Below are 14,875 nucleotides of genomic sequence, written 5' to 3' on the forward strand. Positions count from 1 at the left end.
CCTGGGTAGCTGGGATTATAGGCACCAGCCACCACATCCAGCTAATTTTTGTTTTTTTTTTGAGACAGAGTCTTGCTCTGCTGCCCAGGCTGGAGTGCAGTGGCATGATGTCGGCTCACTGCAACCTCCGCCTCCCGGGTTCAAGCAATTCTCCTGCCTCAGCCTCCCAAGTAGCTGGGATTACAGGCGCCGGCCACTACGCCCGGCTTATTTTTTGTATTTTTAATAGAGACGGGGTTTCACCACGTTGGCCAGGCTGGTCTCGAACTCCTTACTCTCAGGTGATCTGCCCACCTCGGCCTCCCAAAGTGGTGGGATTACAGGCGTGAGCCACCGTGTCTGGCTGCTTCAGTATCACTTTTGATGTTTGCCTGCTGCCTGACATCTATATAAGGGTATCCTTTATAGAGGGTAATGGGCTTGTCAGATTATTTATGTATTTGTATATTACATTATGGATGCAATTATATAAACTTAAGCTTCCCAGATCTGAAATGTAATGAATGGTAACCTTTGTTACCATGTTTGAGAATATTTTAAAAATCTAATTTCAAAAGTAAATAGGCCAGGTGCAGTGGCTCACGCCTGTAATCCCAGCACTTTGGGAGGCCAAGGTGTGTGGATGACTTGAGGTCAGGAGTTGGAGACCAGCCTGGCCAACATGGTGAAACCCCATTTCTACTAAAAATAGAAACATTAGCTGGACGTGGTGGCGGGCATCTGTATTCCCAGCTACTCAGGAGGCTGAGACACGAGAATCACTTGAACCCGGGAGGCGGAGGTTGTAGTGAGCTGAGATTGTGCCATTGCACTCCAGCCTGTGCAACAGAGCGAGACTCTGTCTCAAGAAAAAAAAAGTAAACAGCCTATTTATATATATCTATTTACATCCAAAAGGTAAACTTTACCTGGTGGGTGAAAATTTGATGAGAAATTTACATAACTCCAAAGTACCTGATCAGAAGATATTTATTGATTAAAAATGGAAAATCAGTAACTTTACAGTGCAGAAACCTGACAGACACCACCTCATTCAAGTGATCAAAATTAGCATAGTCAGACTGTAATCCCAGCGGTTTGGGAGTCGAGGTGGGAGGATGGCTTGAGGCCAGGAGTTGGAGACCAGCCTGGGCAGCATAGTGAGACCTTGTCTCTACAAGACTATTTTTAAAAAATTAGCTGGAGGGGATGGTGCTATAGTTCCAGCTAGTTGGGGTGCTGAGATGGAAAGATTGCTTGAGCCCAGGAGTTCAAGTCTGCAGTAAGCTATCATGAGCTATCATGACACTGCACTCCAGCCTGCACAGCACAAGACCCTGACTCTTAAAAAAAAAAAAAAAATAAGTTGGAATTAATTTTAGAAGAAAGCATTAGGGGTAGGCAGGGTGGCTCACGCCCGTAATCCCACCACTTCATGAGGCCAAGGCCAGAGGATCACTTGAGCTCAGGAGTTTTGAGACCAGCCTGGGTAACATAGCAAGACCTTCTGTCTACTAAAAACAATTTTTAGGCCGGGCGCGGTGGCTCACACCTGTAATCCCAGCACTTTGGGAGTTTGGGAGGCCGAGGCAGGCAGATCACAAGGTCAGGAGTTCGAGACCAGCCTGGCTAACATGGTGAAACCTCGTCTCTATTAAAGATACAAAAAATTAGCCAGGAGTGGTGACACATGCCTGTAATCCCAGCTACTTGGGAGGCTGAAGCAGGAGAATCGCTTGAACCTGGGAGGCAGAGGTTGCACTGAGTCGAGGTCACGCCATTGCACTCCAGCCTGGGCAACAGGGCAAGGCTCCGTCTCAAAAAAAAAAAAAAAGGAAAAATAAAAAATTTTAAAAATTAGCCAGGCGTGGTGACACATGCCTATAGTCCCAGCTACTAGAGAAGCTGAGGCAAGAGGATTGCTCCAGCCTAGGAGATCAAGGCTGCAGTGAGCTAGGATTGCACCACTGTACTTCAGCCTGGGTAACAGAACAAGACCCTCTCTCAAATAATAATAATAATAAAGCATTAGGATCTGTTTGAAGAAAACTCGAAATATCTTCCCCAGGGACATTGTTTAAGAACTGATCACATTCCTTTCATTTGACAAATATCCATGAAGCACTTCCTAAGCCAAGGCCCTCTTCTAGGAACTGGAGTCACAAGACCTGAGAAGGTCCGCCTTACAGAGATCTTATATCCTACTCGGGAGATAAACAATAAACAAATTCGGCTGGGCATGGGGACTCAACGCCTGTAATCCCAGCACTTTGGGAGGCCGAGGAGGGTGGATCACCTGAGGTCAGGAGTTGAAACCAGCCTGGTCAACTTGGTGAAACCCCGTCTTTACTAAAAATACAAATATATTAGCTGGGTGTGGTGGCAGGCACCTTTAATCCCAGCTAACATGGGAGGCTGAGGCGGAGGTTGTAATGAGGCGAAATCGCACCACTGCCCTCCAGTCTGGGTGACAGAGCAAGACTCCATCTCAAAAAAAAAGGTATATATGAAGAGGTAACCAGAAAGTCTGCAGCCAAAAATGTAGGGAAAAGGCATATTGGAAGATCCATGTCAGGCAGTCAATAAAAATATGTTCTTTGGGTTTTATGATGTTTATGGTGTTTGCTTGATAAATTTCTTTTGATTTCCTTTCTCAGTGATTTTTCTCATTCTAAATAAATATTCCTGGCCGGGCGCAGTGGCTCACACCTGTAATCCCAGCACTTTGGGAGGCCAAGGTGGGCGGATCACAAGGTCAGGAGATCGAGACCATCCTGGCTAACACGGTGAAACCCCGTCTCTACTAAAAATACACACACACACACACACACACACACACACACAAATTAGCCAGGCGTGGTTGCAGGCGCCTGTAGTCCCAGCTACTCAGGAGGCTGAGGCCGGAGAATGACATGAACCCGGGAGGCGGAGCTTGCAGTGAGCCGAGATTGCGCCACTGCACTCCAGCCTGGGTGACAGAGCGAGACTCCGTCTCAAAAATAAATAAATAAATAAATATTCCTTTTGCTACCTAATTTTGTATTCTTAAATCAGGCCTCCCAGGCCCCACAAACTTGGATCTGCCCTTGTAGATAATACATCGCTTTTTGTTTCTGTTTCAGTGTAAAGAACTGGCCAAGTCCAAGGCAGAAGTGGCCTGCATCGCAGTGTACGAAACAGACGTGTTTGTCGTCGGAACCGAGAGAGGATGCGCTTTTGTTAATGCCAGGACGGATTTTCAGAAAGATTTTGCAAAATACTGTAGGTGTTTTAATTTTATCCTTTGTATTCCCAATCTCAAAAGGATCGCAGGCAAGACTTCCACAGTATTTTCTTCTAAGCTATCATAAGCATTCTCCTAGAAACGATCCTAACACATCTTCTTGGATTCAGCTTACCAAATAAATACTGCCTAACACTGCAGAGTCCAAGACAAATGGTCATTTTATTTTATACTAGGTCCTCAGCGGTACTCTGGTTTATTAGAATAAATTTCAAGGACATAGAACAAATTATCTTTAATTCCTAAAATAAACACCATTTTACAAAATACTCTTTAGTCCTTTCCAAAGGAAGGGGGAAAAACTTTTTCAGAGCTTGTTGTGTATTACTGCCTATTAATAGCCATTATACAATTACTCCTTTTTTCTTTTTTTCTTTATTTTTTTGAGACAGAGTCTCACTGTGTCACCCAGGCTGGAGTGCAGTGGTGCGATCTTGGCTCACCGCAACCTCCGCCTCCCAGGTTTAAGCGATTCTCCTGCCTCAGCCTCCCGAGTAGCTGGGATTACAGGCACCTTCCACCATGCCCAGCTAATTTTTATATTTTTGGTAGAGAAAGGGTTTCACCCTGTTGGCCAGGCTGGTCTCAAACTCCTGACCACAAGTGATCTGCCCACCTCTGCCTCCCAAAGTACTGGAAAACTGCACCTGGCCGTTTTTTCCTTTTCTTAGTATGGCAATTTCAGAGCCTTCAATATGCCACGGTGTGCTGCAAGCATCCAGTGTGAGTGAGTATATGTGGCCATATGTCAAGGAACTACTCTACAGTGTTAAAAACTACACCTTCTGCCGGGCTCGGTGGCTCACTCCTGTAATCCCAAAATTTTGGGAGGCCAAGGCAGATGGATCACTTGAGCTCAGGAGTTTGAGGCCAAGCTGGGCAACATGGCAAGACTCCATCTCTACTAAAAAATACAAAAAAAAATTAGATGGGCGTGGTGGCACTCGCCTGTTGTCTTAGCTACTCAGGAGGCTCAGGTGAGAGGATCTCTTGAGCCCGGGAGGTCAAGGCTGCAGTGAGCCGTGATCACACCACTGCACTCCAGTCTGGACCATAGAGCGAGACCCGGTCTCAAGACAAAACAAAACTAGACAAAAAACTACACCTTTTATGGTGGTAATCTCTAACACTGTAGGTTATTTACCAAGTATTGATATAGCAATTTAATATTCCTTGTAACCATGAAAGGATAAAAATCAGAAAGGTTCGTCAGAGGGTATAAGGGTGTGTGTGTGTGTGTGTGTGTGTGTGTGTGTGTGTATGTACAGAGAGAGGGGTCTCTATGGATTGGCAGAGGGTATATAAAGTGTGTGTGTGTGTGTGTGTCTGTGTGTGTATAAGTAGATTAGATAGGTAGATAGATAAGAGAGAGGAATTATATACATATGTATATAGACAGATTAGATAAATGGATAGATGATAGATAAGAGAGAGGAATTATATATATATATGTATGTAGATAGCTTAGATGGATGGATAGATAAGGGAGACAGGAATTATATATATATATGTATATAGATAGATTAGATGAATGGATAGAGAGAGAGAGAGAGAGAGAGATGAGAGAGGGGAGAATTGAGTGATAGATTGATTCAAATTTACTTCCGAGATCCCAAATTAAGGTCTCCACTATCAAGAAGACAGATTAAAAAATGAAGCCATCTTTAAATAATACAGTATGTAACTGATACACAAGAAGGGTATTCTCAATTCATTAATGTCAGATGCCAGTTGAATTTCTAATCACTGGAATTTACTTGTAGATTTTTTTAAGATTCATAGTTGCATGTTAATTTTGTTGTCGCAAATATTTTCTCTAGTATTCATCTTGTAATGAAACTGTTCTGAAATTGGTGTGATAATCTTTTTATATTTTCTTTTCTTTTAATAATGTCAACTTTTAGTTTAGATTCGGGGGGCACACGTGTAGATTTGTTACATGGGTATATCGTGTGATGCTGTGGTTTGGGGTACAGTAGTGAGCATAGTACCCCGTAGTTCATTTTGCAACCCTTGCCCCCACTTCCCTCTTTCCTCTAGGAGCCACCAGTGTCTATTGTTCCCATCCCCATCTTTATGTCCATGTGTATCCAAGGTTTGGCTCCCACTTACAAGTGAGAACATGTGGTATTCAGTTTTCTGTCCCTGCATTAATTTACATAGGATAATGGCCTCCAGCTGCCTCCACATTGCTGCAAAGGATATGATTTCTTTCTTTTTTATGGCCGCAGGTTTTTCGTTTTTGTTTTTGTTTTTTGAGACAGAGTTTTGCCCTTTCGGACAGGCTGGAGTGCAATGGCATGATCTTGGCTCACTGAAACCTCCACCTTCTGAGTTCAAGCCATTCTCCTGCCTCAGCCTCCCAAATAGCTGAGATTACAGGCATCTGCTACCACAGCCGGCTAATTTTTGTATTTTTTAGTAGAGACAGGGTTTCCCCATGCTGTCCAGCCTGGTCTTAGACTCCTGACCTCAGGTGATCCGCCTGCCTCTGGCTCCCAAAGTGCTGGGATTACAGGCGTGAGTCATCGTGCCCAGCTTTTTTTTTTTTTTTTTTTTTTTTGAGACAGGGTTTTACTATATTACCCAGTCTGGTCATAAATTCCTGGGCTCAAGTGATCCTCCTGTCTTGGCCTCCCAAGTAGCTGAGATCTGCACCTGGCATGCATGCTAAATATTTGGTCAAGTGTTTATTTCTGGACTCCCTACTCTATTCCGTAGATCTATTTGTCTTTATGCCAGTATCATGCTGTTTTGATTACTTTATAATATGTTTTGAAATCAGGAAGTATGAGACCTCCAAATTTGCTCTTCTTCAAGATTATTTCTGTTATTCAGAGTCCCTTGGTGTTCCATATGAATTTTTTTTTATTTTTTTTTTTTTGAGACAGAATCTCGCTCTATCGCCCAGGCTGGAGTGCAGTGGAGAGATCTTGGCTGACCACAACCTCTGCCTCCTCGGTTCAAGCCATTCTCCTGCCTCAGCATCCCAAGTAGCTGGGATTACAGGCACATGCCACCATGCCCAGCTAATTTTTTTTTTTTTTTTTTTTTGTATTTTGAGATAGGGTTTCACCATGTTGGCCAGGATGGTCTTGAATTCCTGACCTCGTGATCCACCCTCCTCAGCCTCCCAAAAGTTCTGGGATTACAGGGTGAGCCACCGCGCCCAGCCCCATGTGAATTTTAGAGTGGATTTCTTAATTTGTACGAGAAATGCCCTTGAGATTTTGATGGGGATTGCAATAATTCTGTAGATGGCTTTTGGTAGTACAGATATCTTAGCAATATTAAGCCTGCCAATCCATGAACATGAGATGTCTTTCCATTTGTTTGTGTCTTCTTTAATTTCTTTTCTTTCTTTTTTTTTTTTTTTTTGAGAGACAGAGTCTTGCTCTGTTGCCCAGGCTGGAGTGCAGTGGCTTGATCTCGGATCACTGCAACCTCTGCCTCCCAGGTTCAAGCGATTCTACTGCCTCAGCTTCCCAAGTAGCTGGGACTACAGGCATGCACCACCACACCCAGCTAATTTTTGTATTTTTAGTAGAGACAGGGCTTCGCCATGTTGCCCAGGCTGATCTTGAACACCTAACCTCAAGTGATCTGCCTGCCTTGGCCTCCCAAAGTGCTGGGATTATAGGATTATAGGCGTGAGCCACCACGCCCAGCCTGTCTTCTTTAATTTTTTTCAGCAGTGTTTTATTGTTTTAGTATACAGATTTTTCCCTTCCTTGATTAGGTCTATCCCTAAGGATTTTATTCTTTTTGATGCTATTGTAAATGGAATTGTTTTATTTCCTTTGCAGATTGTTCATTGTTACTGTATAGAAATGCAGTTGATTTGGTGTGTTGATGTAGTATCCTGCAACTTTGCTGAATATGTTGGAGTTCGAATAGATTTTTGTGTGGAATTTTTAGGATTTTCTACATACAAAATCATGTATCATCTATGAACAGAGATAATTTTACTTCTTTCTTTCAAATTTGGAGGCCTTTTTTTTTCTTACCTAGTTTAATTGCTCGGCTAGGACTTCCAAAACTGTGTTGAACAGAAGTGGGGAGAGAGGGCATCTTTGCCATTTCTTTTTTTTTTTTTTTTCTTTGAGATGGAGTCTTGCTCTGTTGCCCAGGCTGGAGTGCACTGGCTTGATCTCTGCTCACTGCAACCTCCGGATCCCAGGTTCAAGTGATTCTCGTGCCTCAGCCTCCTGAGTAACTGGGATTACAGGTGCGTGCCACCACACCTGGCTAATTTTTGTATTTTTTTAGTAGAGGTGGGGTTTCACCACATTGGCCAGCATAGTCTCAAACTCCTGACCTCAAGTGATCTGCCTGCCTCCGCCTCCCAAAGTGCTGGGATTACAGGGGTGAGCCACTGCACCTGGCCCATCTTTGCTATTTCTGATCTTAGCTATCAGTCTTTCATTGTTGAGTGATATTAGCCATGGACTTTTTATAAATGGCCTTTATTACATTGGTCATTTCCTACCACTTCTAGTTGGTAGAGTGCTTTTATCATGAAAGGATGTTCAATCTTGTCAAATGCTTTTTCTGTGGCAATTGAGATGATCATGTGGCTTTTGTCCTTTATTCTGTCAATGTGGTATGTTACATTGATTGATTTAAATATGTTGAACCATCCTTGTATTTGAGGAATAAATTCCACTTGGGGCCAGGCACGCCTGTAATCCCAGCATTTTGGGAGGCCAAGGCGGGCAGATCACTTGAGGTTGGGAGTTCGAGACCAGCCTGGTCAACATGGGAAAACCCCGTCTCTACTAAAAATACAAAAATTTTAGTGGTGGCAGGAGCCTGTAATCCCAGCTACTCGGGAGGGAGAGGCAGGAGAATCGCTTGAACCCGGGAGGCGGAGGTTGCAGTGAGCTCTCACCTGCCTGTGATGACCAACAGCATTTGGGATACCCAGTGTGGCACTCATTCCAGTGAGTTTTAGTGACACCCCCACCACACACAGCTTCCCAGTCACTTCCACTAATACTCCAGCTGGCTTCCCAGCAAGTCTTATCGAAGTCCCAGAAAATTCCAGAAGGGGCCAGGTGCAGTGGCTCACATATGTAATCCCAGCACTTTGGGAGGCTGAGGTGGGAGGATCGCTGGAGCCCAGGCGTTTGAGACCTGCCTGGGCAACATGGCAAGACCCTGTCTCTACAAAATACATATATATATACATTTTTACATTGGCCTTTTTTCTTTTTTATTATTATTTTAAAAATATATATATCAGCTGGGTGTGGTGGCTCACACCTGTAATTCCAGCACTCTGGTAGGCTGAGGCTGGCGGATCACCTGAGGCCAGGAGTTTGAAACCAGCCTGGCCAACATGGCGAAACCCCATCTGTACTAAAAATACAAAAATTAGCTGGGTGTGGTGGCATGCACCTGTAATCCCAGCTACTCGGGAGGCTGAGGCAGGAGAATCACTTGAACCCAGGAGGTGGAGGTTGCAGTGAGCCAAGATCGTGCCATTGCACTCCAGCCTGGGTGACAGAGCAAGACAAAAAAAAAAAAAAAAAAGGGAAAGGAAAAAGGAAGAAAGAAAATTGCAGAAGGAGGTTTCGCAGTGAATTTCAGTGGCACCATACCCACAGGCAGTTTCCTAGGGAGTTCCACCAGTTCCCCAGAGCATGGCTTCCCAGCAAATTCTCTTGGCATCACCCTCCAGGTAGCTTCCAGAGAGTTCCACTAGCACACTAGAGGCCATCTTCCTTATAACGCCCAGAAAGTGTTGCAGGCACCCACAGGGTAACTGTCTAGTGATTTCCACCAGCACCCCCAGAAAGCAGGCCCCTGCTTGCCAGCCACCACATGGACAACCCCACAGGCTTCCCCACTATCCAGTGGGCCGTGACCAAATCCTGTTTAATGAGGTCTGGATCTCGGCCCTGGGGAGCCACCCCATTCCTGGATTTGCTCCCTCCTGGGTCCCCTGCCTTAGCCCAGCAGTTACAGATGCTCTTGCAATTTGCTGCTTATGTTCTCTTTAGAGTCCTCAGTCCCTCTAGCAGCTAATCCCATGTTACCAGTTGACGACTCTTCTAGGAAACTTCACCTGTTGGTGTAAATTAGTACAAGCTCTATGGAAAACAGTATGGAGATTTCTCAAAGAACTAAACATAAACCCCCATTCAATCCAGCAAGCCCACTACTTGGCATCTACCCAAAGGAAAATAAATCATTCTATCAAAAAGACACCTGCCTTGAACGTTTATCACAGCACTATTCACAATAGCAAAGATGTGCAAATCAAGCTAAGCATCCATCACCAGATGATGGGACAAAGAAAATGTGGTACGTACACTATGGGATACTATTCAGCCATAAAAAAGAATGAAATGGCCGGGCATGGTAGTGCATGCCTATAATCCAAGCACTTTGGGAGGCTGAGGCGATGGATCACTTGAGATCAGTAGTTCTAGACCAGCCTGGCCAACATGACGAAACCTCGTCTCTACTAAAATTATAAAAGTTAGCCGGGGGCGGTGGTGCATGCCTGTAATCCCAGCTACTCAGGTGGCTGAGGCACAAGAATTGCTTGAACCCGGGAGGCAGAGGTTGCAGTGAGCCGAGATCATGCCATTGCACTCCAGCTTAGGCGACAGAGTAAGACTCTCTCAAAAAAAAAAAAAAAAAAAAAAAAAAAAAAAAAAAAAAAAGAATGAAATGATGTCTTTTGCAGCAACATGGATGGGATTGGGGGCTATTGTCTTTATCATTTGACGTAAAAAGGCAAATGCGGCATGTCCTAACTTACAAGAGGGGCTAAATAATAGGTACACATGGACATAGAATGTGAGGCTAGGTGCAGTGGCTCACTCCTATAATCCCAGCACTTTGGAAGGCCGAGGTGGGCAGATCACTTGAGGCCAGGAGTTCGAGACCAGCCTGGCCAACATGGTGAAACCCTGTCTCTACTAAAAATACAAAAATGAGCCTGGTGTAGTGGCGGGTGCCTGTAATCCCAGTTACTAGGGAGGCTGAGGCACGAAAATCTCCTGAACCCAGGAGGCAGAGATTACTGTGAGCTGAGATTGCGCCACTGCACTCCAGCCTAGGTGACAGAGTGAGACTCTGTCTCAAAACAAACAAACAAAAACATGGTCATAGAGTGTGAAATAACAGACACTGGAGACTCAGGGGTGGGAGGCAGGAGGTGGGTAAGGGATGATAAATTACTTCATGGGTACAATGTACATTATTTGGGTGATGAGTACACTAAAACCCCAGACTTCACCAACAACACCGTATATCCATGCAAGAAAACTATACTTGGCGGGGTGTGGTGGCTCAGGCCTGTAATCCCAGCACTTTGGGAGGCCGAGGCAGGCGGATCACGAGGTCAGGAGATCGAGACCATTCTGGCTAACGTGGTGAAACCCCATCTCTACTAAAAAATACAAAAACTTAGCCGGGCGTGGTGGCAGGCACCTGTAGTCCCAGCTACTCAGGAGGCTGAGGCAGGAGAATGGCGTGAACCCGGGAGGCAGAACTTGCAGTGAGTGGAGAACATGCCACTGCACTCCAGCCTGGGTGTCACAGCGAGACTCTGTCTCAAAAAAAAAAAAGAAGAAAGAAAGAAAACTATACTTGTGCCCCTTACATTGATACAAAAAAAAAAAACAAAAACCTTTCTGTGTTCAAATTACTATGTGGTTTCTCTCTTCTGACTAGACTGATGAAAACAATCAGTTTTAAAACTTTTGGAGGAGCAATTGATTCTGGGGCTGGTCTTGAATGGGTTCAGGGGTATAGTCTTCCTATACAATTATTGCCACGTTTCAACTGTATAGCAAATCAAATTTCTGTTATAAAGATAATTTCTGGATGGGTGCAGTGCCTCACACCTGTAATCCCAACACTTTGGGAGGCTAAGATGGGAGGATCACTTGAGGCCAGGAGTTAGAGGCCAGCCTGGGCAACATAGTGAGATCCCATCTCTAAAAAAAATTTAAAAGTTAGCCAGGTGTGATGGGGCACTCCTGGAGGCTGAGGTGGGAGGACCGCTTAAGCCCAGAAATTTGAGGCTGCCGGGAACTTCGATCATCCCACTGCACTCCAGCCTGGGCAGCAGAGTGAAACCCTGTCTCTAAAAATAATAATTTCCTTAAACTACTACTATTTCTTTATATGTTGATTTTTTTATAGTTCATTAACCTGTTTATCATAAATACAATTTTTTCTTGTTTTTCTTTAAAAGATCTTGTTTTATATTTATTCACTTTTTTCCCTTTTTTCTTTCAATACCAGAAACAAAGTACGGAAGTGTACAGCACAAATGCTTAGAAACTGACCTAATGCCAATCATCCATTTGCAGGCGTTGCAGAGGGACTGTGTGAGGTGAAACCTCCCTGCCCTGTGAACGGGATGCAGGTCCACTCGGGCGAAACGGAAATACTCAGGAAGGCAGTGGAGGACTATTTCTGCTTTTGTTATGGTAACGTTCACTTTAAGCATTAATTCTATTTTTTTTTTTTTTTTGAGATGGAGTCTTGCTCTGCCACCCAGGCTAGAGTGCAGTGGTGCGATCTCGGCTCACTGCAACCTCCGCCTCCTGGGTTCAAGCAATTCTCCTGCCTTAGCCTCCCAAGTAGCTGGGATTACAGGCGCCCACCACCACACCCAGCTAATTTTTGTATTTTTAGTAGAGATGGGGTTTCACCATGTTGGCCAGGCTGGTCTCAAACTCCTCACCTTGTGATCCGCCTGCCTTGGCCTCCCAAAATGCTGGGATTATAGGCGTGAACCACCGCGCCCAGCCAAGCATGAATTCTCTAAGTGGTTCACCCAGGAGTAGGACAGTGTCACAGACAGTCTTATTGCCATGACTACTTAGAATGTTTGAACATTTCAAAACCCATATGCTTATCAAGCGAGGAGCTAGTTCTTTTTTTTTTTTTTTCTGAGAGGAGTCTTGCTCTGACACCCAGGCTGAAGTGCATTGGCACAATCTCAGCTCACTGTAAACTCTGCCTCCTGGGTTCAAGCGATTCTCCCACCCCAGCCTCCTAAGTAGCTGGGATTACAGGTGCCCACCACCTTGCCCAGCTAATTTTTGTATGTTTAGTAGAGATGGGGTTTTGCCATGTTGGCCAGGTTGGTCTCGAACTCCTGACCTCAGGTGATCCTCCTGCCTTGGCCTCCCAAAATGCTGAGATTACAGGTGTGAGCCGCCGTGCCTGGCCACCAGTTCTTTTTTTTTTTTGAGGCAGAGTCTCGCTCTGTTGCCCGGGCTGGAGTGCAGTGGCTCAATCTCGGCTCACTGCAAGCTCCGCCTCTCGGGTTCCTGCCATTTTCCTGCCTCAGTCTCCTGAGTAGCTGGGACTACAGGCACCCGCCACCGTGCCCGGCTAACTTTTTTTGTATTTTTTGGTAGAGACGGGGTTTCATTGTGTTAGCCAGAATGGTCTCGATCTCCTGACCTCGTGATCCGCCCACCTTGGCCTCCCAAAGTGCTGGGATTACAGGCGTGAGCCACCGCGCCCGGCCCACCAGTTCTTAATTACCAGATTAAGTGTTCTTATAGAAGATGATGTGGATCTTGGATCTTCTGCTCTGTGGAAACTTCTGTATTGATCACTCTTTCTTCCTTGATCCCATTTTAGAGAGCCCCGCATCAAGGCCAGTGTATTGCTAAAGACAGTCAATGTTGGCTCAGTCACCTCCCTCACCCCTCAGTTGTCACTCCACCTACCCATGTCTTTCCATAGGCATGAAGATGGGAATTTAAAAAAAAAATACGCTGGGCATGGTGGCTTGAGCCTGTAATCCCAGCTACTTGGGAGGCTAAGGTGGGAGGATCATTTGAGCCCAGGAGTTTGAGACCAGACTGAGCAACATAGTAAGACCCTGTCTCTACAAAATAAAATAAAAATAATTTTCAAAAATCCTTTGCAGTGTTTTAAAAAGCTAGATAACAGGCTGGGCACGGTGACTCACACCAGCTACTTGGGAGGCTGAGGTGGGTGGATCACCTGAGATCAAGAGTTCGAGACCAGCCTGGCCAACATAGTGAAACTCCGTCTCTACTAAAACTACAAAAATTAGTCGGGCATGGTGGCAGGCGGCTGTAATGCCAGCTACTCAGGAGGCAGAGGCAGGAGAATTGCTTGAACCCAGGAGGCAGAGGTTGCAGTGAGCCCAGTCGAGACCCTGTCTCTTAATTAAAAACAAAAACAAAAACAAAAAAAACTAGGCTGGGCTCAGTGGCTCGCCTGTTATCCTAGCACTTTGGCAGGCTAAGGTGGGTAGATCGCCTGAGCTCAGCCGTTCGAGACCAGTCTGGACAACATGGTGAAACCTCATCTCTACTAAAATACAAAAGAAATTAGCTGGGCATGGTGGTGTGTGCCTGTAGTCCCAGCTACTCGGGAGGCTGAGGCAGGAGAATTGTTTGAACCCAGGAGGTGGAGGTTGCAGCGAGCCGAGATCTTGCCATTGCACTCCAGCCGGGGTGGCAGAGCGAGACTCTGTTTCTACAAAACAAAAAACAAAAAACAAAAAAAAAAAACTGGTAGAACGTTAGGTTCACACCATCCAAAGACGTTTGCGTCTTCTTGTAGGTAAAGCCTTAGGGACAACAGTGATGGTGCCTGTTCCCTATGAGAAGATGCTGCGAGACCAGTCGGCTGTGGTAGTGCAGGGGCTTCCGGAAGGCGTTGCCTTTCAACACCCTGAGAATTACGACCTTGCAACCCTGAAATGGATTTTGGAGAACAAAGCAGGGATTTCATTCATCATAAATAGGTGACACACTCTGCACCCCCGCCCCTTCAGTTCATTTAAAGATGAAACCAATAGCCTAATTTTAATTCACTCGTGCATCCCGCCTGCTGCGTTTCAGAGCTGACTGTTCAGATGTGTCATGCTTTTTTCATTGGTCCGTGCTGGGTAATGGTGTTGCTTTTCTTGCAGACCCTTCCTAGGACCAGAGAGTCAGCTGGGTAAGTGACAGCTTCTCAGGTTTGGTGGCTCTTCTGAGCTGCTGAACCACTTCTTCTTCATTAAAACTTGAATTGGGGGCCGGGCGTGATGGCTCACACCTGTAATCCCAGCACTTTGGGAGGCTGAGGCAGGTGGATCACAAGGTCAGGAGATCGCGACCATCCTGGCTAACACGGTGAAGCCCAGTCTGTACTAAAAATACGAAAAAAAATTAGCCGGGCGTGGTGGCGGGCGCCTGTAGTCCCAGCTACTCGGGAGTCTGAGGCAGGAGAATGGCGTGAACCCGGGAGGTGGAGCTTGCAGTGAGCGGAGATCGCGCCACTGCACTCCAGCCTGGGCGACTGAGCAAGACTCCGTCTCAAAAAAAAAAACAAAACTTGAATTTGGGTGAGGGGAGGGAACTTAGAGGACGGGCCAATAGGTGCAGCAAGCCATCGTGGCACACATGTGCCTAGGAAACAAACCTGCACATTCTGCAGATGTATCCCCCCCCCTTTTTTTTTTAGAAGAAATAAAGAATATTTTTTAAAAAAAGAAAAATACATTTGTAGCTATTAAAAAAAAAATTGGCCGGACGCAGTGGCTCACACCTGTAATCCCAGCACTTTGGGAGGCAGAGGTGGGCAGATCACTTGAGGTCAGGAGTTCGAGAC

General features: G+C 45.5%; 1 protein-coding gene across 3 annotated transcripts in view, besides 1 other annotated feature; it reads left to right on the forward strand.

Annotated features, from left to right (window-relative positions):
• Positions 1–3,392: part of a non allelic homologous recombination region, noted in NCBI's record as "sub-region SSN11'-SSN13', recombines with sub-region SSN11-SSN13 within the WBS medial block B recombination region", that runs on past the window's edge. NCBI's record gives the evidence for it as "EXISTENCE:restriction fragment detection evidence [ECO:0001124][PMID:12796854]".
• GTF2IRD2B (GTF2I repeat domain containing 2B) overlaps positions 1–14,875 on the forward strand; it is a 57,262-nt gene that overhangs the window by 16,740 nt on the left and 25,647 nt on the right. For 2 of the 3 annotated variants that reach the window (NM_001003795.3, NM_001368302.1), the window contains exons 3-6: positions 3,102–3,240; positions 11,596–11,715; positions 13,841–14,024; positions 14,193–14,221. In NM_001003795.3, coding sequence (NP_001003795.1) covers positions 3,102–3,240; positions 11,596–11,715; positions 13,841–14,024; positions 14,193–14,221 — 472 coding nt within the window. Of the gene's footprint in view, positions 1–3,101; positions 3,405–11,595; positions 11,716–13,840; positions 14,025–14,192; positions 14,222–14,875 lie in introns of those variants that run through there. The other variant, NM_001368301.1, reaches the window with a different exon arrangement.

Source organism: Homo sapiens, chromosome 7, assembly GCF_000001405.40.
Source record: "Homo sapiens chromosome 7, GRCh38.p14 Primary Assembly".
Taxonomy (NCBI): Eukaryota; Metazoa; Chordata; class Mammalia; order Primates; family Hominidae; genus Homo; species Homo sapiens.